Source organism: Homo sapiens, chromosome 1 (assembly GCF_000001405.40).
Source record: "Homo sapiens chromosome 1, GRCh38.p14 Primary Assembly".
Lineage (NCBI taxonomy): Eukaryota > Metazoa > Chordata > Mammalia > Primates > Hominidae > Homo > Homo sapiens.
Window position 1 is genome coordinate 16,579,700 of NC_000001.11, and position 22,993 is coordinate 16,602,692.

The window sequence follows — 22,993 nt, forward strand, 5'->3', positions numbered from 1 at the left end:
CAAAAGGTTTCATTTTGCCTTTTTAATTTTTTTCTTTTTTGGTTTTTTGTTTTTTGTTTGAGACGGAGTCTCACTCTGTCACGCAGGCTGCAGTGCAGAGGCACAATCTCAGCTCACTGCCACCTCTGCCTCCCGGGTTCAAGCGATTCTCATCCCTCAGCCTGCCAAACATCTGGGATTACAAGCGCCAAGTAACATGCCAGCTAATTTTTGTATTTTTAGTAGAGATGGGGTTTCGCCATCTTGGACAGGCTGGTTTCGAACTCCTGACCTCAGGTGTTCCGCCCACCTTGGCCTCCCAAAGTGCTGGGATTAAGATGTGAGCCAGCACCCCCGGTCAGAGACTTTTTTTTTTTTTTTTGAGATGGAGTCTCGCTCTGTCTCCCAGGCTGGAGTGCAGTGGCACAATCTAGGCTCACTGCAAACTCCGGTTCCTGGGTTCATGCCATTCTCCTGCCACAGCCTCCCGAGTAGCTGGGACTACAGGTGCCCAACACCGTGCCCAGCTAATTTTTTTTTTTTGTATTTTTAGTAACGACGGGGTTTCACCGTGTTAGCCAGGATGGTCTCGATCTCCTGACCTCGTGATCCACCCGCCCCAGCCTCCGAAAGTTCTGGGATTACATGTGTGAGCCACCGCGCCCGGCCGAGACTTCTTATTAATAGCTAAGACAAGCCAATGAAAAGGAGAGAGAGTCTAGCCTGAGAGGAGTGAACCAGGGTGGGAGGATCGTCTCAGCCGATCCTCCCACCTAAGTCTCCTGAGCAGTTGGGACTAGAGGCACGCAGCACCATGCCTGCCTAATTTTTTGTATTCTTTGTAAAGATGGGTTTCACCATATTGTCCAGGCTGGTCTTCAACTCCTGAACTCAAGTCATCCTCCCACTTGGGCCTTCCAAAGTGCTGTGATTATATGTGTGAGTCACAGAACCTAGCTCCATCCTAGTTTCTGACTAAAACAATATGTGCGTATACAGCCTGTCCTCAGAATTGATCTTCCATAGCCTAGACAGAGGTATGAGACACAAGGAAAATAGAGGCTACCTGGGAGAATGTTTACAGCATCCTGACATTCATCATGAGAGGATTCTCTGTCTACAACCAGAGCTGAGTTGACTTTGTCTTCCTCAAAGGTGATGTTGATGTTCTTGTGAGGCTGGTTGGAGTCACAAGGGCCGTGGCTATTTGAACAAGTGATGGCACATTCCTCCAGTGAGTCCTCAGGGACTTTGCTTTCTTCAGCCTTCTGCACCTCCCTGATGAGCCAGGTGGGACAGAGATGACAGAAGATTAAACACAGAGGGATTGGACCCCAGGGAGTCCTAGCTGGTTTTGACAGGCGGCATTAAGACAGTGGTCCCAGAAAGCAAAATGGAGGTTCCCTTTAAGGGGGAACAGGCAATCCTCTTCTCTCTGCAACAGAGCATGGCTGCCATGGGAGCCAGAGAGGAAGAGAGCAGCTGGTGTTCAGTGCACTGGACAGATAGGAGCTGAGGAGGATGAAGACTCAGCTATCCCTGTATGGTACAGACATGACACTTGGCACACATAGAGAAACACGACAGCTGCCACACCCTGTGTCTAAGCTGGGTTGAATTTCACATACTGTGGCCAAGCGAATGCGGGCTTTTGGCCCATCATAGATGCCAGAGAGGGTGTGCCTCCTAGACATTTTCATATGTTACCACCCATTACTTGCTCCTGAGTATTCAGTGTTACCTGGGGGCAGATGATTCCAGTACTTTCTCAGCCTCCTCAACTTGAACATCTTCATCCTCATCTTCGTCATTTTCTGTAAATACAAAATGTTCGTTCAGATATTTCCCACTTCCCATTCTCCAAGCACAGTCAGCCCAATGTGCACAGAGACATGAACATCTATGTGTGGTTCAGCATTGTACTGAAAACTGTCATGTTTTATCTTTCACAAAATGCCCTGGCATGGTTTCCTGGTCCATCGGGCAATGCATTTCTGATCTGGAGGGCCACCATCAAGATGTGGCCAAATATTGAAAAGACCTTTTGCTTCCCATATCACTGGAGGCTTGTGCAGCCTCTCTCTGGACTTTGGCAGCTGTCTCCCCCATCCTGCCACAGATCTGATTCCCAGGAACAGGTTTGGTGTCCTGTCACAGTTCGCATTTCAAACCTCATTCTTTCTCTTAGGAGAGGACAAACTTGTCCCACAGTCCTCTATGTGTCATGAGACTGCACAGGCCCTCCATGTGGCTTCTGCTGTGTTATTCAGGGACATTCTATCCATGGGGAGTGCTCCAGTCTGAAGCACTTCCTACCACCAAATGCCCCCACATCAAGTGCCTTCTCCAACACCAAACGGAGAGGGGCTGCATCTCATTTTAAAAAGCATTCGTAAGTGTTCCCATATTTGGATGCTTCAGACCCTTGCAAGAGACAATTTGTTTGCCTTTGCAGATGGAGAGAGAGAAACTCTGGAAAGATAAATCACTCACTCACCGACAGTTACTAAGAACATTGCCAAAAAGACAGCCTGGGAACCTTCATTCTTAGCCCAGAGCTCTTTTCACTCCAACAAGCGCCCTCCCATCACAGCCTCCTTCCTGTCCTTTAAAACTAGACAGATGCTGCCTCTTGCTCCAAAGACCACCTTCCATCAAGGAAGGAGGGACACTTGCAATACTGTGACCTCCAACCCCATGGGTTTCCCATCTCTGTTCTTACCCAGGAAGTCCTGGTCATGTCATGGCCACATATGTGTAGCAGAAAATAACCCCACTGATACAACTGTCATTGTGAAAGTATGGAGGTCTGGAGCCTCTCATAAGCCTGGGGTTTTGGGTCATCAGGGCCTATGGCCACCTTACCTGGGCTGAGCTTCTGGAAAAGTTGCTGTGCCAGTCTACACCCCTCAGCCAGCTGTTCTTGGAGGTCCTGCCCCTGGGACTTGTCTGGCTTATCCGGAGTGAGGAGGGCCTGGAGATGCTGATTCAATGAGCGGGAGGCATCTCTCCCTTCCCGTAACTTCTCCCTTAACTGGGTCAGCTCTCGTTCCTGAGAGTGAACCAGGACTTTATATTGCCTAAGGTGAGACGGTAGAGAAAATTTAAGAGTGGAAAGGGTTGAGTGATCCGTTCAAATATTGCAACAGAGATTTCTGAGACAATGTCCTCAAGGAGACCTCCAAGCAGAAGGTCAGCACATGTTGAAAGGAATGACTGTGGCCAAGAGAAATAATAGAAAATGGTTTACAGGCTTCCTCTGTATCAGAGAGGGCTCCTGCAAGATCCTCGATGATGTTCCATTCATCTTTCCCTTCTGTAAACAAAAGTAGGTGTCTTCCTAATTCCGTTTCAAAAAGACATCCTTTCAGTTCCTCACTCTGGCCATGGACATTTCCATGTGAAAATACACATAGTGCAACTTGCAGCCACTAGATACAAAGCCATGTACAGAAATGAGGCCAGGTGCAGATGGGGCGAATTGAAAAGACGAAAGAAGAAAAGAATGACAGGGTCAAGAAGGCAACATTGATTGAGTGAAAGAATGAGAAGACGCAGTCAGTCAGAAGGTGGTTCTCACTAAGGGTAAGTGGGGTGGTGATGGCACACCATTTTGAGTATACTGAGTGCTGCTGTGTGGTTCACACTCCTTTGGTTAATTTTGTGTTATGTAAATTTCACATCAACAATTACTTGTTTGAAAAAGAGAAAACAAGGCTCTAAGAAACAACTGCAACCCATAAATTTTTATTATCCTTCTTCTCTGCTTGATAAATACTTGTGTGTTGCGAGCCTGCCATGGCAATTCCTGCCCTTCCCCTGGCCCAGCTTAGCTCTTACGTCTCCCCACCGAGCTGCTGTACTTCAGAGATTTACACAGCTGCTCCCCCACCTGCCCCCATGGGGTCCCCTCACCTGAGCTCCTCAGCTTGCTTGAGCTGCTCTGCAAGCTTCTCCTCCTTGAACTGTCGCTCATTCCTCAGCATAGATTTTATGAGGTCTTTGCACTCTTCATATTCTGAGAAAAGACAGACACGCCTGCCTCAGTGGAAGGCTGGACATGCTGCTGTGGTCATTGCCTACAGGGCAGGAGCCAGGTCCATCCCAAGGACAAAACTCTCCCCAGTACCAGGGTCTAGACAGGGATTTCCACATCTTTACTCTTCAGTCTCCTGACTTTCTGGCATCTGATCCTCCAAAATTTAGAGATGAAGAAAGGGAACCTCAAGGGCACATCAAGGAAGTTGACAAGATGATTCAACCACAACGAAGTGGAGTCAGAATTCACAGCCCCTGAGGTCTGACTCTGAATGCAGGGCCACTTTCCCAAGACTTGCAGCCTCTCCTCTAAAACACTGCACTGGGGCATGAAGTAGTGATTTCTTGTACAGTCGGGAAGGCCCCTAGGACTATGGGACTGACGGTTTCCCTTTTACTGGGAATTTCAAAGACAAGTATGCGAAAGATTTTAAAAATCTTTGATTTTTAAATCATATCTTCAGTTATGATTTTAAGAATCATATCTGAAGCATAAAGTGTGACACATAACACCATAAGGTCATGAAGGAAATATGCCCAAATGCTAATAAAGTTTGTGTTAATTTAGAAACAGCAGAATGAAGAACTAATAGATAGTGTTTACTGTGTGCCAATAAATGTTCTAGGAGATTGACAAGAAATAGCTCATGTAATTCACTGCAGCAATTTACAGAGGTAGGTATTATTGTAGTACCCTCTGAACAGGTGAGGAAACTGAGGGACAGACAAGACAAGCAACTTGGATGGAGCCCAGGAGACAGGCCCACGGTCTCTGCTCTGTACACTGCACTGCTACCTCCACACATTCTCAGGTGCGATCTTTCTTCCTCTTTAGGAACAAGACTCTGTGCCCCAGGAAGCAGGACTTCACTCTCACCAAGCTACACTCTGCTTCTTATTCTTATTTTTATTTATCATTATTATTATTATTATTATTATTATTATTTTTACCAGTCTTGCCCTGTCACCCAGAGTGGAGTGCAATGGCAAAATCTTGGCTCACTGCAACCTCAGCCTCCTGGGTTCAAAGGATTCTCCTGCCTCAGCCTCCTGAGCAGGGGTGATTACAGTCACCTGCCACCATGCCCATCTACTTTTTGTATTTTTAGTGGAGATGGGGTTTCTCCATGTTGCCCAGGCTGGTCTCAAACTCCTGACCTTGTGATCTGCCCGCCTCAGCCTCCCAAAGGGCTGGGATTACAGGAGTGAGCCACCATGCACAGCCCCTACTCCCTGCTCTTGATGCTGTCACTTATAGATAGCACAGGTTCTATTAGGAGCAGACTCCTCTTGAAGCCCCTCAGAGCGGGTACTGGCTACTATCACCAAGTTTCCCTCAGAGTCACTAGAACAGAGCTGTGCCTGTTGGGCCTCAACAGAAACTTGAACTGAATAAAAGTTCACTAGTCTCAGACATTTAGAACAACAGACTAGATGTTATTTGTCTGCAGGATCTTACATGGTACAGAGAGGATTCTTGGAAACATGATTGAGCCTCTTGGAGAAAACAGGTCATTCTGTGCCTGTGTCAGAAATCAATAAATGGCAGTTTAACTCTAGTCCCACCCCCACCTGATTGCAAACATGGAAAGTTGCTAAATACTTTGGTACCTCTCTCTTCCAACTTTAACAAAATGTTAAAATACCCATTTCTGTTTTCCTAGAAGTATGGGGAGGATGACATTATTTTAGATGGAGAGAGCACTTAGTTTCTCAGAGAGAAGACAGGACTTCGTTCATCACTTTCGTGATGGTGAGCCTATAGATCTTACTGTATTTGTTCTGCTGGTTGGCCAGGAAGCAGGCCAGTTGAGTTACAAAACATTTCTCTTTGAGGTTTCTGAACTGCTGTTTCTTCTCTGCCAGCTGGGGATGCAATTTCTCGTTGATTTCTAGAATGTTCATCTCTGCCTTCTCGCTGGACAAAGGGCCGGCTGATACCACCATGCTGACGTTTGTGGCAGAAGAGGTGGGGCCAGGGACTGGGGAGAAGAAAGGCAAACACATGATGGGTTAAAAACTGGTGAAATCAAATAGGTTTAATCACACTGAGGGATGTCAGTGGCAGCCTTGTCTACTTATTTGAAAATGTTGTTTCCCTGGTTTCACTCTTGTCATCTCCAGTCTTGATCTCCTTTAAGTCAACTTGTCTTAGCTATGCAGTCACCTTGAAACCAGGACATAAACACTTCTACACTTTTCTTGCTTATAAGTTTCTATAAAGCAAGGCTGGGCCCTGAGATTTTTACCCCATGAGTGGCCAATGTTTCTGTGTAGCACAAAAGATTGCATTTTCCTTTTTCGATATTTTTCTCTTTTGGTTTTTTGTTTTTTGTTTGAGACGGAGTCTCACTCTGTCACGCAGGCTGCAGTGCAGTGGCGCAATCTCAGCTCACTGCCACCTCTGCCTCCCGGGTTCAAGTGATTCTCATCCCTCAGCCTGCCAAACATCTGGGATTACAAGCGCCAAGTAACATGCCAGCTAATTTTTGCATTTTTAGTAGAGATTGGGTTTCGCCATCTTGGACAGGCTGGTTTCGAACTCCTGACCTCAGGTGTTCCGCCCACCTTGGCCTCCCAAAGTGCTGGGATTAAGATGTGAGCCAGCACCCCCGGTCAGAGACTTTTTTTTTTTTTTTTTTTGAGATGGAGTCTCGCTCTGTCTCCCAGGCTGGAGTGCAGTGGCACAATCTAGGCTCACTGCAAGCTCCGGTTCCTGGGTTCATGCCATTCTCCTGCCACAGCCTCCCGAGTAGCTGGGACTACAGGCGCCCAACACCGTGCCCAGCTAATTTTTTTTTTTTGTATTTTTAGTAACGACGGGGTTTCACCGTGTTAGCCAGGATGGTCTCGATCTCCTGACCTCGTGATCCACCCGCCCCGGCCTCCCAAAGTGCTGGGATTACATGTGTGAGCCACCGCGCCCGGCCGAGACTTCTTATTAATAGCTAAGACAAGCCAATGAAAAGGAGAGAGAGTCTAGCCTGAGAGGAGTGAACCAGGGTGGGAGGATCGTCTCAGCCGATCCTCCCACCTAAGTCTCCTGAGCAGTTGGGACTAGAGGCACGCAGCACCATGCCTGCCTAATTTTTTGTATTCTTTGTAAAGATGGGTTTCACCATATTGTCCAGGCTGGTCTTCAACTCCTGAACTCAAGTCATCCTCCCACTTGGGCCTTCCAAAGTGCTGTGATTATATGTGTGAGTCACAGAACCTAGCTCCATCCTAGTTTCTGACTAAAAGAATAACAATATGTGTATATACAGCCTGTCCTCAGAATTGATCTTCCATAGCCTAGACAGAGGTATGAGACACAAGGAAAATAGAGGCTACCTGGGAGAATGTTTACAGCATCCTGACATTCATCATGAGAGGATTCTCTGTCTACAACCAGAGTTGAGTTGACTTTGTCTTCCTCAAAGGTGATGTTGATGTTCTTGTGAGGCTGGTTGGAGTCACAAGGGCTGTGGCTATTTGAACAAGTGATGGCACATTCCTCCAGTGAGTCCTCAGGGACTTTGCTTTCTTCAGCCTTCTGCACCTCCCTGATGAGCCAGGTGGGACAGAGATGACAGAAGATTAAACACAGAGGGATTGGACCCCAGGGAGTCCTAGCTGGTTTTGACAGGCGGCATTAAGACAGTGGTCCCAGAAAGCAAAATGGAGGTTCCCTTTAAGGGGGAACAGGCAATCCTCTTCTCTCTGCAACAGAGCATGGCTGCCATGGGAGCCAGAGAGGAAGAGAGCAGCTGGTGTTCAGTGCACTGGACAGATAGGAGCTGAGGAGGATGAAGACTCAGCTATCCCTGTATGGTACAGACATGACACTTGGCACACATAGAGAAACACGACAGCTGCCGCACCCTGTGTCTAAGCTGGGTTGAATTTCACATACTGTGGCCAAGCGAATGCGGGCTTTTGGCCCATCATAGATGCCAGAGAGGGTGTGCCTCCTACACATTTTCATATGTTACCACCCATTACTTGCTCCCGAGTATTCAGTGTTACCTGGGGGCAGATGATTCCAGTACTTTCTCAGCCTCCTCAACTTGAACATCTTCATCCTCATCTTCGTCATTTTCTGTAAATACAAAATGTTCGTTCAGATATTTCCCACTTCACATTCTGCAAGCACAGTCAGCCCAATGTGCACAGAGACATGAACATCTATGTATGGTTCAGCACTGTACTGAAAACTGTCATATTTTATCTTTCACAAAATGCCCTGGCATGGTTTCCTGGTCCATCGGGCAATGCATTTCTGATCTGGAGGGCCACCATCAAGATGTGGTCAAATATTGAAAAGACCTTTTGCTTCCCATATCACTGGAGGCTTGTGCAGCCTCTCTCTGGACTTTGGCAGCTGTCGCCCCCATCCTGCCACATATCTGATTCCCAGGAACAGGCTTGGTGTCCTGTCACAGTTCGCATTTCAAACCTCATTCTTTCTCTTAGGAGAGGACAAACTTGTCCCACAGTCCTCTATGCATCATGAGACTGCACAGGCCCTCCATGTGGCTTCTGCTGTGTTATTCAGGGACATTCTATCCACGGGGAGTGCTCCAGTCTGAAGCACTTCCTACCACCAAATGCCCCTACACCAAGTGCCTTCTCCAACACCAAACGGAGAGGGGCTTCATCTCATTTTAAAAAGCATTCGTAAGTGTTCCCATATTTGGATGCTTCAGACCCTTGCAAGAGACAATTTGTTTGCCTTTGCAGATGGAGAGAGAGAAACTCTGGAAAGATAAATCACTCACTCACCGACAGTTACTAAGAACATTGTCAAAAAGACAGCCTGGGAACCTTCATTCTTAGCCCAGAGCTCTTTTCACTCCAACAAGCGCCCTCCCATCACAGCCTCCTTCCTGTCCTTTAAAACTAGACAGATGCTGCCTCTTGCTCCAAAGACCACCTTCCATCAAGGAAGGAGGGACACTTGCAATACTGTGACCTCCAACCCCATGGGTTTCCCATCTCTGTTCTTACCCAGGAAGTCCTGGTCATGTCATGGCCACATATGTATAGCAGAAAAAAACCCCACTGATACAACTGTCATTGTGAAAGTATGGAGGTCTGGAGCCTCTCATAAGCCTGGGGTTTTGGGTCATCAGGGCCTATGGCCACCTTACCTGGGCTGAGCTTCTGGAAAAGTTGCTGTGCCAGTCTACACCCCTCAGCCAGCTGTTCTTGGAGGTCCTGCCCCTGGGACTTGTCTGGCTTATCCGGAGTGAGGAGGGCCTGGAGATGCTGATTCAATGAGCGGGAGGCATCTCTCCCTTCCCGTAACTTCTCCCTTAACTGGGTCAGCTCTCGTTCCTGAGAGTGAACCAGGACTTTATATTGCCTAAGGTGAGACGGTAGAGAAAATTTAAGAGTGGAAAGGGTTGAGTGATCCGTTCAAATATTGCAACAGAGATTTCTGAGACAATGTCCTCAAGGAGACCTCCAAGCAGAAGGTCAGCACATGTTGAAAGGAATGACTGTGGCCAAGAGAAAGAATAGAAAATGGTTTACAGGCTTCCTCTGTATCAGAGAGGGCTCCTGCAAGATCCTCGATGATGTTCCATTCATCTTTCCCTTCTGTAAACAAAAGTAGGTGTCTTCCTAATTCCGTTTCAAAAAGACATCCTTTCAGTTCCTCACTCTGGCCATGGACATTTCCATGTGAAAATACACATAGTGCATCTTGCGGCCACTAGATACAAAGCCATGTACAGAAATGAGGCCAGGTGCAGATGGGGCGAATTGAAAAGACGAAAGAAGAAAAGAATGACAGGGTCGAGAAGGCAACATTGATTGAGTGAAAGAATGAGAAGACGCAGTCAGTCAGAAGGTGATTCTCACTAAGGGTAAGTGGGGTGGCGATGGCACACCATTTTGAGTATACTGAATGCTGCTGTGTGGTTCACACTCCTTTGGTTAATTTTGTGTTATGTAAATTTCACATCAACAATTACTTGTTTGAAAAAGAGAAAACAAGGCTCTAAGAAACAACTGCAACCCATAAATTTTTATTATCCTTCTTCTCTGCTTGATAAATACTTGTGTGTTGCGAGCCTGCCATGGCAATTCCTGCCCTTCCCCTGGCCCAGCTTAGCTCTTACGTCTCCCCACCGAGCTGCTGTACTTCAGAGATTTACACAGCTGCTCCCCTGCCTGCCCCCATGGGGTCCCCTCACCTGAGCTCCTCAGCTTGCTTGAGCTGCTCTGCAAGCTTCTCCTCCTTGAACTGTCGCTCATTCCTCAGCATAAATTTTATGAGGTCTTTACACTCTTCATACTCTGAGAAAAGACAGACACGCCTGCCTCAGTGGAAGGCTGGACATGCTGCTGTGGTCACTGCCTACAGGGCAGAAGCCAGGTCCATCCCAAGGACAAAACTGTCCCCCGTACCAGGCTCTAGGCAGGGATTTCCACATCTTTACTCTTCAGTCTCCTGACTTTCTGGCATCTTATCCTCCAAAATTTAAAGACGAAGAAAGAGAAATTCAAGGCACATCAAGGAAGTTGACAAGATGATTCAACCACAACGAAGTGGAGTCAGAACTCACAGCCCCTGAGGTCTGACTCTGAATGCGGGGCCACTTTCCCAAGACTTGCAGCCTCTCCTCTGAAACACTGCACTGGGGCATGAAGTAGTGATTTCTTGTACAGTTGGGAAGGCCCCTAGGACTATGGGACTGACGGTTTCCCTTTTACTGGGAATTTCAAAGACAAGTATGCGAAAGATTTTAAAAATCTTTGATTTTTAAATCATATCTTCAGTTATGATTTTAAGAATCATATCTGAAGCATAAAGTGTGACACATAACACCATAAGGCCATGAAGGAAATATGCCCAAATATTTTATTAGTATGACAGGCAGCATCAAGATTTAGATTAGTTGTGTTAATTTAGAAACAGCATAAGATTAGTTTGTGTTAATTTAGAAACATCAGAATGAAGAACTAATAGATAGTGTTTACACTGTGCCAATTAATGTTCAAGGAGATTGACAGGAAATACCTCATGTAATTCATTGCAGCAATTTACAGAGGTAGGTATTATTGTAGTACCCTCTGAACAGATGAGGAAACTGAGGGACAGACAAGACAAGCAACTTGGATGGAGCCCAGGAGACAGGCTGAGGGTCCCTGCTTTGCACACTGCACTGCTGCTTCCACACATTCTCGGGTGTGATCTTTCTTCCTCTTTAGGAACAAGAGCCTGTGCACCAGGAAGCAGGACTTCACTCTCACCAAGGTACTCTCTGCTTTTTATTTTTATTTTTGTTTTATTTATCTTTTTGTTTGTTTGTTTTTTGATGAGTCTTGCCCTGTCACCCATGCTGGAGTGCAATAGTGCAATCTTGGCTCACTGCAACATCTGCCTGCTGGGTTCAAAGGATTCTTCTGCCTCAGCCTCCCGATTAGTGGTGATTACAGTTGCCCGCCACGACGCCCATCTACTTTTTGTATTTTTAGTGGAGATGGGGTTTCTCCATGTTGCCCAGGCTAGTCTCAAACTCCTCACCTCGTGCTCTGCCCGCCTCAGCCTCCCAAAGTGCTGAGATTACAGGAGTGAGCCACGTTGCACGGCCCCTACTCCCTGCTCTTGATGCTGTCACTTATAGATAGCACAGGTTCTATTAGGAGCAGACTCCTCTTGAAGCCCCTCAGAGCAGGTACTGGCTACTATCACCAAGTTTCCCTCAGAGTCACTAGAACAGAGCCTTGCCTGTTGGGCCTCAACAGAAACTTGAACTGAATAAAAGTTCACTAGTCTCAGACATTTAGAACAACAGACTAGATGTTATTTGTCTGCAGGATCTTATATGGTACAGAGAGGATTCTTGAAAACATGATTGAGCCTCTTGGAGAAAACAGGTCGTTCTGTGTCTGTGTTAGAAATCAATAACTGTGAGTTTAACTCTAGTCCCACCCCCACCTGATTGCAAACATGGAAAGTTGCTAAATACTTTGGTACCTCTGTCTTCCAACTTTAACAAAATGTTAAAATACCCATTTCTGTTTTCCTAGAAGTACAGGAAGGATGAAATTATTTTTGATGGAGAGAGCATTTAGTGTCTCAGAGAGAAGACAGGACATCATTCATCACTTTCATGATGGTGAGCCTATAGATCTTACTGTATTTCTTCTGTCGGTTGGCCAGGAAGCCGGCCAGTTGAGTTACAAAACATTTCTCTTTGAGGTTTCTGAACTGCTGTTTGTTCTCTGCCAGCTGGGGGCGCAATTTCTCGTTGATTTCTAAAATGTTCGTCTCTGCCTTCTCGCTGGACCAAGGGCCAGCTGATACCACCATGCTGACGTTTGTGGCAGAAGAGGTGGAGCCAGGGACTGGGGAGAAGAAACCCAAACATATGATGGGTTAAAAACTGGTGAAATCAAATAGGTTTAATCAGGACTGAGGGATGTCAGTAACTGAAATTCTTAACTTACTGTTGTGAAAAATGTGATCACTCCCCACAGCACTTTAGGATCCTTCACCACAAAAACAAGGTTCGAGGTGCCTGAACTCAGAGCTGAAAGCACTGCCAGTAGCTCAGACTCTGATAAGAGTGAGGTAGACTGTGGCCAGCGTGCCAGGTAACCGTCTGCAGTTGCAATAACAGAATTAGAAGGTGGGGGTGTCATGGAATCTTAGGAGCCCTGCATTCCAATTGCCCAGGCTTTCCTGAAACACAGGCACCCTAGTCTCACCTGAGGGTCACCACCAATGGGGATCATTCCTTCAGCATTCACTCTCAGTATTCGTGTACCCTTGTGATGATGCCACAGACCCGTGTCTTTCCCAATACATCTAAGCATATTCCTCACTGTTTATCTCTTGTCTGTACAACATCATCAAGGCAGAAACAGTTTCCCAACAGGTTGTATTTTCTTAATGGTAGTCATGAAGTCACCCCACCTGCTCTCAGTTAAAACAGAGCTTAAGGCCTTTCCACAGGTGTAAGATATCAAACTTTTAGCCTGCCCTGATTTCCTCTGGGTCTTCTGCAGTTTTGTCTGTATCCACTAGAAAGTGAATGAATAATTCATTTGTAAAAAATGTTGTCTTTCCTGTCTCAGTATTCTTCTTGCTGTTTCCCATTGTTATGTTGATTTCTTTTTTCTCACTGGGGCACCATCTTTGCTTTTCATTACACTCTAGACCAGTTTGACATCCCTATGTCCAGAGCTCTTCCTCTATGTGGGTTGATTTGGTTTTTGATGTCACTGAGCGCTACATTTTATACTTGTCACTTATGGATGTCATTCTAGTGTCACAAGAGCTCTTTTCAAGGTATCAAGTGATCAAAATCATTTATATAGAGATCTCCTGAAAACATGTGTGACCATCTATCTTGGGAAGTTTCATAAACCTGATGCTATTTTGTTGTTTCCATTTTGTTTTCCCATATACTGAAAAGAACAGGGCCATGAGCGGTTCTTATGCAATATGGTTTGATATATATTTTGTTGAGATGACCTAACACCATTGATTTTGGGTTGCATTCCACTAACAGAACATGGCAAGATCAAGGTTATGGTCACGGTTGGTTGGTGATCCTCAGTGTTGCAGTAGAAGGTGAGTTTGAGATGAGAGGAATGAGTAGGAAAGAGTGATCCCCTGAACCACCTCCTCGCTTTCTCAGCTTTCACCCCACCTAGGTTTTGTGAGCCTGGAACTTGGGAGACTGTTCTGTAGCCCAGGTCTCCTAAGATTGGCTGCTGGACTTGCCTGAGTTGAGGGTGCGGTGGGTTGACCCTGGGCTGCCCAGCATTCATGTGGTAGTGAAGGAAGGAGGACTGGATCAATCCCATTTCAAAGCATGTCTCTCTGCACTCCACACTGTCCTCCAATGACACTGTAAGGAAACCGCTTTAAGACGTATCAACGGCTTTAAGTAAATGTATTTTCTGGCATCTGGGAGACCTGACATTCTGTGTCATAATGAAAATCTGTCATGTTTCTTTATTTTAAAAATGATAAAACTGCAGGTTCACAGAGTTACATGGCTTACTTGAGGTCACACGGGGATGAGTTTTCAGCACTGCCAATAAAAGCAATCACATGAATTATTCAGTAATTATTCATAGGATCCATATAATTCAGTAAATATTCACATAATTATTTACTAGTTGTTCATTGACCAATTCGTACAAGGCATTTTGCTCAAAACTGTGTTTATATTTGGACATTGTATCTTCATCATAATCCTGTGGTAATGCTGTTATCCGTAAGTAACAGGTAAGAAACCTGAAGAGGAGGGATAGCAAATCATGTATTTGGACATATTTCCTTTTTTTTTTTTTGGTTTTTGTGATGCTGGAAGAATGACCAGAATGAGTCATAGGAAGAGTATACATTCCTGTAGTATTTTCCAGGACAGAGGTGTGACCTCCTAGAGTACTGGGACCAAAATTCCCAAGTGTCTGCAACCTTGCTTTAACAGTATGGGAGATCACCTCTATCACCTGGAATTCCCCTGGAACTCTGGAATATACAAGAGAAGTATGAGACTTGGGTCTTCCCTTGGCTGTGTTTAATTCACTCTTCTATGGAATACCAATGATTCTCACTAAGACTGGCCTTTTCATAAGCACAATGTGCATTTTATGGAGAAGATTTTACACTTTGCTCTATTTAGAAAGAATAAATATGAGCAGTGGTTTAGGTTTTATGCCCTGGACTTAATATGTTTCTGATTCCTGTTTTGAGATTAAATTCTCATGTAAATAGAAAAATACTTATTATTTCTCATAAGGCCAAGTTTGTTATTAGTTTGAGTTTTTGAAGATGAAGCACAAACTTTTGATTTTATCTTTGTCTGTCTCTGTCAGCGCCACTCGTTGTCTCTCAGTATGACCTGGACTTGCCCCTGCACTTACCCTTGTCCTGCTGAACCATCTCCATGCACTGTCCAATTCCATCAGTGATTCGGGCTCCTTCCAAGGCTCCCTGAAAAGGGCACAGAGATCAGGACATTAGGCACATTCCGGACACAAAGGCAACCCATACTGTAGAGTGGGCAGCTGTGTTTCCACTTCCCTAATATTCCAGTGATGTCCTCAAACTGAAAGGAACACTTTCCCTTTTTAGGGGTCTGTTCTTCATGTCTCAGTGCCTCTGATCTAGTCAACACAACTGTCCTGAATGTGAAAGAACTTGCTAAATTTCTAGTTTCTTGTTAGGTGGCTAAAATAGATTTATAAGACTTCCTTACTTACCCATGACTGCTGAAGTTTGAATTCTTAGCAGTACGATTCGTTTTCTTGTAAGGTGAGCAGCTTAGGAAAGATTGGCCATCTTCCTGTGCAAAAAGAGGCAAACTTAATTTCTACTCAAAGCATGCTTGAATTTGGAATCAGGGCTTCCACTCTTCCGAAGTTGGAGTGTCACTGCGACAGGCATGTGTCCCGAAGGGCTCGTGTCTCTGCTATACTCAAAGTTTAAATGGAGCCCAGCAAGCCAGATGTCCTTTACTTCTAGGTTCCCTCAACAGTTTCTCCTCCGCTTTAGAGACCGCATTGAAAATATTCTTGTTCTGCTGTTGTGTTTTGGCTTTGGAATGATGTGATGCAGCTCAATGGGTCCCACCCCCAACTTGATCAAAGTAAGAAACAGCTGGGAAAGTCAGTGCAAATACAAGTTCATTGTCCTCCTTGCAGGGATTCTGATTCAGAGGGCTCAGGTGGGGCCTGGAATGTTTGTTAACATGACTCAGATGTGCAGTCAATTTGGGGACTCACTGACAGCATTGACCTTACAGTTTATGGGATGATTCTTTCTGTTTGGTGATGAAGAAACTGAGGCACACAGAGTCTGTAACTTGCCCAAGTTCCCCTTGTTGTAAGTCCTGGAGCCAGATCTCAGGTGGACCAGTGCTTCTCTCCCCTATACCTCATTTCTGAGAAAAGGAAATCTTCTGCAATTTGACTTCTTTCATCTAACACATTTCCTCACAACATGCAGCCAGCATCATATTTTGGCCACTTACTATTAAAGTGAGATGCTTTTTTTTTTTTTTTTTTGAGACAGGGTCTTATTCTGTCACCCAGGGTGGAGTGCACTGGTGATTATAGATCACGGCAATCTTGAACTTCTGGGCTCAAGCGATCCTCCTGCCTCAGCTTTCCAAGTAGTTGGAACTATAGGCACACATCACCATTTCTGGCTAATTTTATATTTTTCATAGAGACAAGGTCTTGCTATGTTGCTCAGGCTGGTTTTGAACTTCTGGCCTCAAGCGATCCTCCCACCTAGGCCTCCAAAAGTGCTGGGATTACAGAAGTTAGCCACTGAACCTGGCCCTGAAATGCTTTTATTTCTTTCTTTTTTTTAATGAAAATACTGGACATGGAGATGTGGAAAGACACCTTGCTTTATTACTTTTGTTGTTATTATTATTTCTACAGTAGAATTTATACATCACAAAATTCACCATTTTTAAGCATACATTTCAGTGTCTTTTACCATATTCCAAAACTTTCGCAACCATCGCCACTACCTAATTCCAGAATATTTTCATAATGCCAAAAAGCATGCCTGTACCTATGGGCAGACACTCTCCAATTCCCCCCTTCTTGCGCTCTCTGACAACCACTAATCTACCTTCTCTATATATTGATGTACTTGTTCTGGGCACTTCCTCTATATGGAATAACAAAGTGTGGTATTTTCTATCTGCTTCTTAGAATATTGTTCTCAAGTTTCATCCTTTCTAGCCTGCGTCAGTACTTCAACTTTTTATGGCCAGATAATATTCCACTATATGGTTATACCACATTTTGTTTATTCATCAACTCATGGTGGTTTAAGATGTTTCCACTTTTTAACTATTAGGAATAATGCTGCTGTGAACAGCTTTGTACAGGTTTTTGAGTGAACATCTGTTTTTCATTTTCTTGGTTATAAACCTAGGAGTGCAATTGCTGCATCATATGTCACTTTATGTTTCACTTTTTGAGGAACTCACACACTGTTTACTAACTTCAGTAGCTATATCATTTTAGATTCCCAATAGTAATATATGAGAATTCCATATTCTCCATCACTTTTGAAACATGTGTTGTCTTTATTTTTTTCTTAAGTCATACTGCTGGGTGTGAAGTGGTATCTCATTTTGGTTTAAATTTACATTTTCCTAATGACGAAAAACATTGAACATCTTTGCATGTGCTTCTTGGCCATTTGTGTGTTTCCTTTAGAGAAACCTCTACTCACAGCTTTTTTTCCCCATTGTTAAATGTGGTTGTCGTTTATTGCTCAGTTATATGAATTCCTTATACACTCTAGGTACTAGACCTGTGTCAAACATACAATTTGGAAATAGTTCTCCCATTATGTGGATTATCTTTTCACTTCCTTGACAGTGTCCTTTGAAGCATACAAGTTTTTTATTTTAATGAAGTCCATTTATCTATTTTTCGGTTGTTTGTGCCTACTTAAAAAATGTCTAATCCAAAATCACAAAGATTTGTACCTAGGTTTCCTTCAAGACATCGTCTTTTGAATGAGAACTTTCCTGGGTTTTAGAGGAGGGTGGACATTGTTTATTGATGCCTCCTGTCCATTACCGATGTTTCTCTTGATTGTTATTCATATGCTCACCACCCCTCCATGGAGCATCCATGGCCTGTGACAGAGCTCTGGGGACTGATATCCTTCCACTGACTTTGGCGCTGGTGAGAGCCCTGGTCATGTGATTCAGCTTGGCCTTAACCCGACCCAGTTGCACATATTCCTCAGGCCCTTTAGAGTTGAAGTCGAGACCTCTCTGAGAACGCTTGCCAGCCCATGCTCTTCTAAGGCTGGAGCAAACTTCCTCCATCTATTCCAGACAGAGGGGACTGCAGGGGTTGGACTCACTCAAGATATCTCTGGTGTTAGAAAGAAGACCTGTTTCAGGCTTTGGGGAAGATTGTTCAATATGAACTAGGTCCTCTCTAATTATTTTTACCGTATGTGTGACTTCTTTCTAGAAACAAGGGAAGAATATTTATGTTAGAACATTTTGTCTATTCTTTGTCAATTGTTGTTTATCTACAATTTTAACATGGATAAAGGAGAGTTCAGTGTCAATATATTCTTAACAACTAATTACGGCTCATGTCCACCGCCATGCGATCATATTTAAATCTGTCAACTATCCTGTTACTTAGGTATTATCCTGTTCCTGATGAGAAAACAAACTCAGAAAGATTGCAAAATTTCCCTAGGTCACAAAACTAGTGAGGAGAGGAGTAAGAATTAGATATCCGTTCCTTTTGGCCTTCAAAGCTAACCTTGTACCATTAGATCAAACTGATTTACATACTTTTGCTGGAATTAGTCTCAGACTTGTGGTTCTCACTTGATTTTCCCAAGGAAACAGTGTGCCACTTTAATATCATTTCAAACTTTGAAATTTAAAACTCTTTTTATTATACTTTTTTGTCTTTGTTCTATTCCGTTGCTTTTGGTTTCTTCTCAACGGATCCCTCTTATTTATATGCTAAATATTTGTTACCTATTTTCTGTCAATTTTCACCTTTTTGAGTGTTTGTTATCTGTCTGTTGTATGCTAACAGTTTTTCACTGAGGTAAAATTTGCGTAGAGTATACTGCAAAAAAACCTAAAGGCACAGCTTAATAAATTTTAATATAATTATAATTGTAAAGTAACACCCAGTTAAAGACAGAGAACATTTTCCCCCATGCCACAAAGTTCTGATGTGGTCCTTGCCAGTCAATACTCATCCCCCAAATGAAGAATATATTCTGAATGTTGTCACTGCCTTAGCCCCTTTGTGTTGCTGGAAAGGAATACCAGAGGCTGGGTAAGTTATCAAGACAAGAGGTGCCTTTTGCTCATAGTTCTGCAGGCTGTACAAGAAGCATGGCCCCCGCATCTGCTCCTAATGAGGGCCTGAGGCTGCTTCCACTTGCAGCAGAAGGTGAAAAGGAACCAGGGTGTGCAGAGATCATATGGCGAGAGAGGAAGCAAAAGAGAGCAAGGAAAGGTGAGAGGCACTTTTTAATAACCAGCTCCTACAGGAACTAAGAGAGTGAGAATTCACTCACTACCTTCTCCCAGGGTGGGGATTCATCTATTCATGAGGGATCCACTCCCATGACCCAAACACCTCCCATTTACCCCCACCTCCAACACTGGGGACCACATTTGAACATGTGATTTGGAGGGGACCAATATTTAAACTTAGCAGCCACCATAGATTCATTTTGCTTGATCATGTGCTTCATAAAAATGGAATCATTTTGGCTGGGCCTGGTGGCTCATGCCTGTAATCCCAAGACTTTGCAAGGCTGAGGCGGGCAGATCACCTGAGGTCAGGCGTTCAAGACCAGCCTGGCCAACATGGTAAAACCCTGCCTCTACTGAAAATACAAAAAATTAGCCAGGCATGGTGGCCGGTGCCTGTAATCCCAGGCACCAGATATGTACTGGTATCTCATATGTACAGGACATGTACTGGTATCTCATTGTTGTATTGATTGATGTTCCTGATGGCTAAACTGTAGAGCATCTTTTCCTATGCTAATTGACCATTCATGTATCTTCTTTTCTTAAGTACCTATTCAAGTCTTTTGAGAAATTGTTTCATTGTGCTGTTTATCTTATTAAACTTATATATATATACATACATATATATACAAATACACTCTAAAAAACCCCTTTGTTGGAAATAAATATATCTCCTATATTGTGGTTTCTTTTAATGTTCTCTTAATGTTCCCTGTTTGGAGATAACGATAGATAATCTTCAAAAAGGTGAATATACACACCCACACCCACCCACACACATACACACACACACACACACACACACACACACACACGTGAGCCACCGGATCCAGCCTGTTGAATTTATTTCTAAGCACAACATGTATTTAGATGTTACTTGAAATGAAATTGTATTTTTATTTCATTTTCCAAATGCTCATTGCTAATACACAGAAATACAAAAGACTACTTCTATTGAGCTTATATTCTGCAACATTACCAAACTCACTAATTACTTTTGGCAGATTTTTATAGATTTCTAGGATTATTAACATACACAGTCATTATCTGTGAATAAAGACAGCTTCAATTCTTTCTTTTCAATCTTTTCAATACTTTTATTTTTCTTACTTTATTGCATTGATTTAGATCTCTAGTATAATGCTGAATTGAAAGAATAACAACAGATATTCTACTTTTTTCTCTGATTTAATAGAAAAGCATTCAATCCTATGCCATTTAATATAATGTTACCTCTGAGTTTTTTTCAAATCTACCCTTAATAGGGTTGAAAGTGTTGCCTTCTCTTCTTATCATGCTGAGAGTTTTCTGGGGTTTGTTTTTATAAATCATGAAAAAAGTTTTCAATTGTGCCAAATGCTTTTACTGTGTATGACAAGGTAATCATATGGTTTTTCTCTTTTGCCCTGATAATACATAACATTACATTTTCTTAAATATAAAAAAGATTTCTTGAATCAAGCTAGGACAGTTTTTTTAATTATAAACTTTTAACAAATATATTGAAATATAACTTACATGCAATTGAGATGCATGAAAGTGTATAATCATTAAAGTGTATAATTTTAAGAGTTTGAGCACACTATACACGAGTCAAAGAGAAAGGACAGAAAATACTAACGATGGCTCAGCACATGTGGTCTATCTTGCTGAATGCTCTATGTGAGTTTGAGAAGAGTTATTTGTTAGCTGTTCTTAGATGTATTTTGCTTAAATATCGACCTGGCTAACATGTGTCATTGATTGTGTGAATTAATTTTGTTCTAGTGGGCAGTAAAATTACTGTCTGATCACTTTGGACTTATGTGGACTGGTTCATGTTTTATTACAACGGATTCATGGAAAGCCCACAGCATTTCCCAAGACCCTCTAATTTGGCAGGACTCAATCACCAATCCACCCCTTTGTGAATTTGTCAGGGTTTGCTTTTAGGCTTTAGCAGGTTGGTCTACAATAGGCCTTATTGAAAAGTGTGACACTTATTCCTAAAGCACATCCATTCTAGTGTCTCAGTTGGATACCTGGGTGCTAATGAGGTGTGCATGAGTTCTTCCCACCATGGATGGCAGAAACTCCATCATACATTCCCCAACCCTCCTCCACCTCAAGTACCTCTGGTCCAAACTCAATTTCATAGCAGCCACCCCTCTGTTAAATCTGTTAGTCTTTTCCTTGTGCAGGTAGAGTCCACTCCTTGATAAGTATGCACATGGAACCCCACATAGACTTTGAGAGCTGCACCTTTGATCAGCTGTCTCCTCACTGGTGCCCTGCCCTGCAGATTGCAGTTGCTTCAGCCGTCTTGAACTCTGATCTCTGCCTTCTCAGCTCAGTGAGCTGCCCTGCCCTGAGTGGACTCTAGCTCACTATGCAGCTGCTGAGAAATTCTCCCCAAACAACTAGGAAATCATGGGGCTTCCCCCTTAAGTTTTCTCTTGGACTGCCTGTTGTACACTGCTGAAAACAATTTTACGTTTGTTTATGGAGGCAGGGTTAGTCTGATATGATTTATTCTAACAGACAGAAGCAGAAATCTGTTATACTCTTTTAATTACTGTGTCTTTATAATATTATGGTAGACAGAATCCTAAGATGACCCCCAGTGATCTTTGCTCTTATATAATCACTTCCTCCTGAGTGTAGACAAAGCTACTGAGGAGATGTCACTCCTGTGATTGTGTTACAATTTATGGCAAAAACAAGTTAACAGATGTAATCGAGATCCCAAATCGGTCCAATTTAAGATAGACAGATTATCTGATGAGCTTGACCTAGTGAACGTGAGTTCCTTGGAGGGACTGAGGACTTCCTGGAGAGATGTGAAGTGCAGGAGGGTTTCCATGCAGGGCGATCCTCCTCTGCTGGCTGGAGGAAGCATGCAGTGGGAACATGGGAGGCCTCTAGGAGCAGCGAGAGGCCCCTGGCTGACAGCCAGCAAGAAAACAGAGATCTCAGTCCTACAGTCACAAGGAACTGAACTCAGCTGACAACCTGAGGAAACTTGAGAGGAAGTTCTTCCCCAGAACCTCCAGAAAGAAACCCAGCCTAATTTCAGCCTGTGAGGCCCTGAGAAGAAGACCCAGAGAATCCAGGCCTGAACTTCTGATCTGTGGACACTGCAAGAAAATAAATCATTCTTATTTTACGCCGCTAATGCTTGCAGTAATTTAGTATGCAGCAATAGAAAATTAATACAAATAAAATGGAGAAGGCTTTGGAGTGGGGACAAGAAGGAAACGGTGGGAGAGGGATGCCTGTATGCTGATATGGTTGATGCCTGTATGGTTGAATTGGGTCTACCGTTCCTCATCTAATTAGCTATGGTCTATTAAGGTGCATAGCTACACACAAATATTGGTACTACGTTCAATTCAGAGGAATAAGATATTGCATTCTTGACAGTAGACAAGAACACCCTGAATTTGGGGTCACTGTATCATAAGTCATGTTATCAGGTCCCTCTAGGAAGGCTTAGAGGAAGATTTCCAGGATACACTTGTGACAACATTGAAGGCTTCTTTTTTCCCCAAAGGGACCCGATCTCCCCTCAGTCGAGAAGCTCCAAGTCTCTGAACTGGATGCCAGGTTATAAATTCCCCCTATACTGACTCCATCAGGCTTCTGTCCTCAGAACTAGAGTTTATCAGTAAAAGATAGACTCATGGGAGTCTAGGCATTTATTCTCTTATTTTATATAAATCAGTTAATGTGCAGGAACAAAACAGACTTTGAAGAAAGACACTCACAGTTGCCACAGGAAAACACCTTCAACATCCTCATGAGTCATCATGGGTGTTCTGTTGGGAGGACTTGATAGGAGGCTTTCCTCCTCACGGGCTAGTGCAGATCCAGGGGAAATGTCATCAAGTCCTCCATTCGGAGGGTAGCAGCTGAGGCTGCTGATTCGTTAGGCCTCCTGCAGCTGGAGATGCAAGTAGTGCATTTTCATGGCCACCGCAGGGCCC

At 43.8% G+C, this 22,993-nt stretch overlaps 1 protein-coding gene across 33 annotated transcripts in view, besides 2 other annotated features; it reads right to left on the reverse strand.

Annotated features, from left to right (window-relative positions):
* Positions 1-22,993, reverse strand: part of NBPF1 (NBPF member 1) — a gene marked incomplete in the record, with an annotated part of 51,142 nt that overhangs the window by 17,277 nt on the left and 10,872 nt on the right. For 6 of the 33 annotated variants that reach the window (NM_001405698.2, NM_001405685.2, NM_001405676.2 and 3 more), the window contains 14 exon segments: positions 1,046-1,257; positions 1,721-1,793; positions 2,845-3,059; positions 3,895-3,997; positions 5,790-5,999; positions 7,351-7,562; positions 8,026-8,098; positions 9,150-9,364; positions 10,200-10,302; positions 12,148-12,357; positions 12,460-12,614; positions 13,742-14,054; positions 14,893-14,962; positions 15,232-15,314. In NM_001405698.2, coding sequence (NP_001392627.1) covers positions 1,046-1,257; positions 1,721-1,793; positions 2,845-3,059; positions 3,895-3,997; positions 5,790-5,999; positions 7,351-7,562; positions 8,026-8,098; positions 9,150-9,364; positions 10,200-10,302; positions 12,148-12,322 — 1,591 coding nt within the window. 33 annotated transcript variants of the gene reach the window in all.
* Positions 10,357-10,856: an enhancer, noted in NCBI's record as "H3K27ac hESC enhancer chr1:16916551-16917050 (GRCh37/hg19 assembly coordinates)". NCBI's record gives its function as "activates a minimal SCP1, AML or CMV promoter by ChIP-STARR-seq in primed H9 embryonic stem cells {active_cell/tissue: H9 hESC(primed)}" and the evidence as "EXISTENCE:reporter gene assay evidence [ECO:0000049][PMID:30033119]".
* Positions 12,184-12,373: a silencer, noted in NCBI's record as "fragment chr1:16918378-16918567 (GRCh37/hg19 assembly coordinates)". NCBI's record gives its function as "represses an EF-1alpha promoter that drives an FKBP-Casp9 reporter gene in an ReSE screen in K562 erythroleukemia cells {active_cell/tissue: K562}" and the evidence as "EXISTENCE:reporter gene assay evidence [ECO:0000049][PMID:32094911]".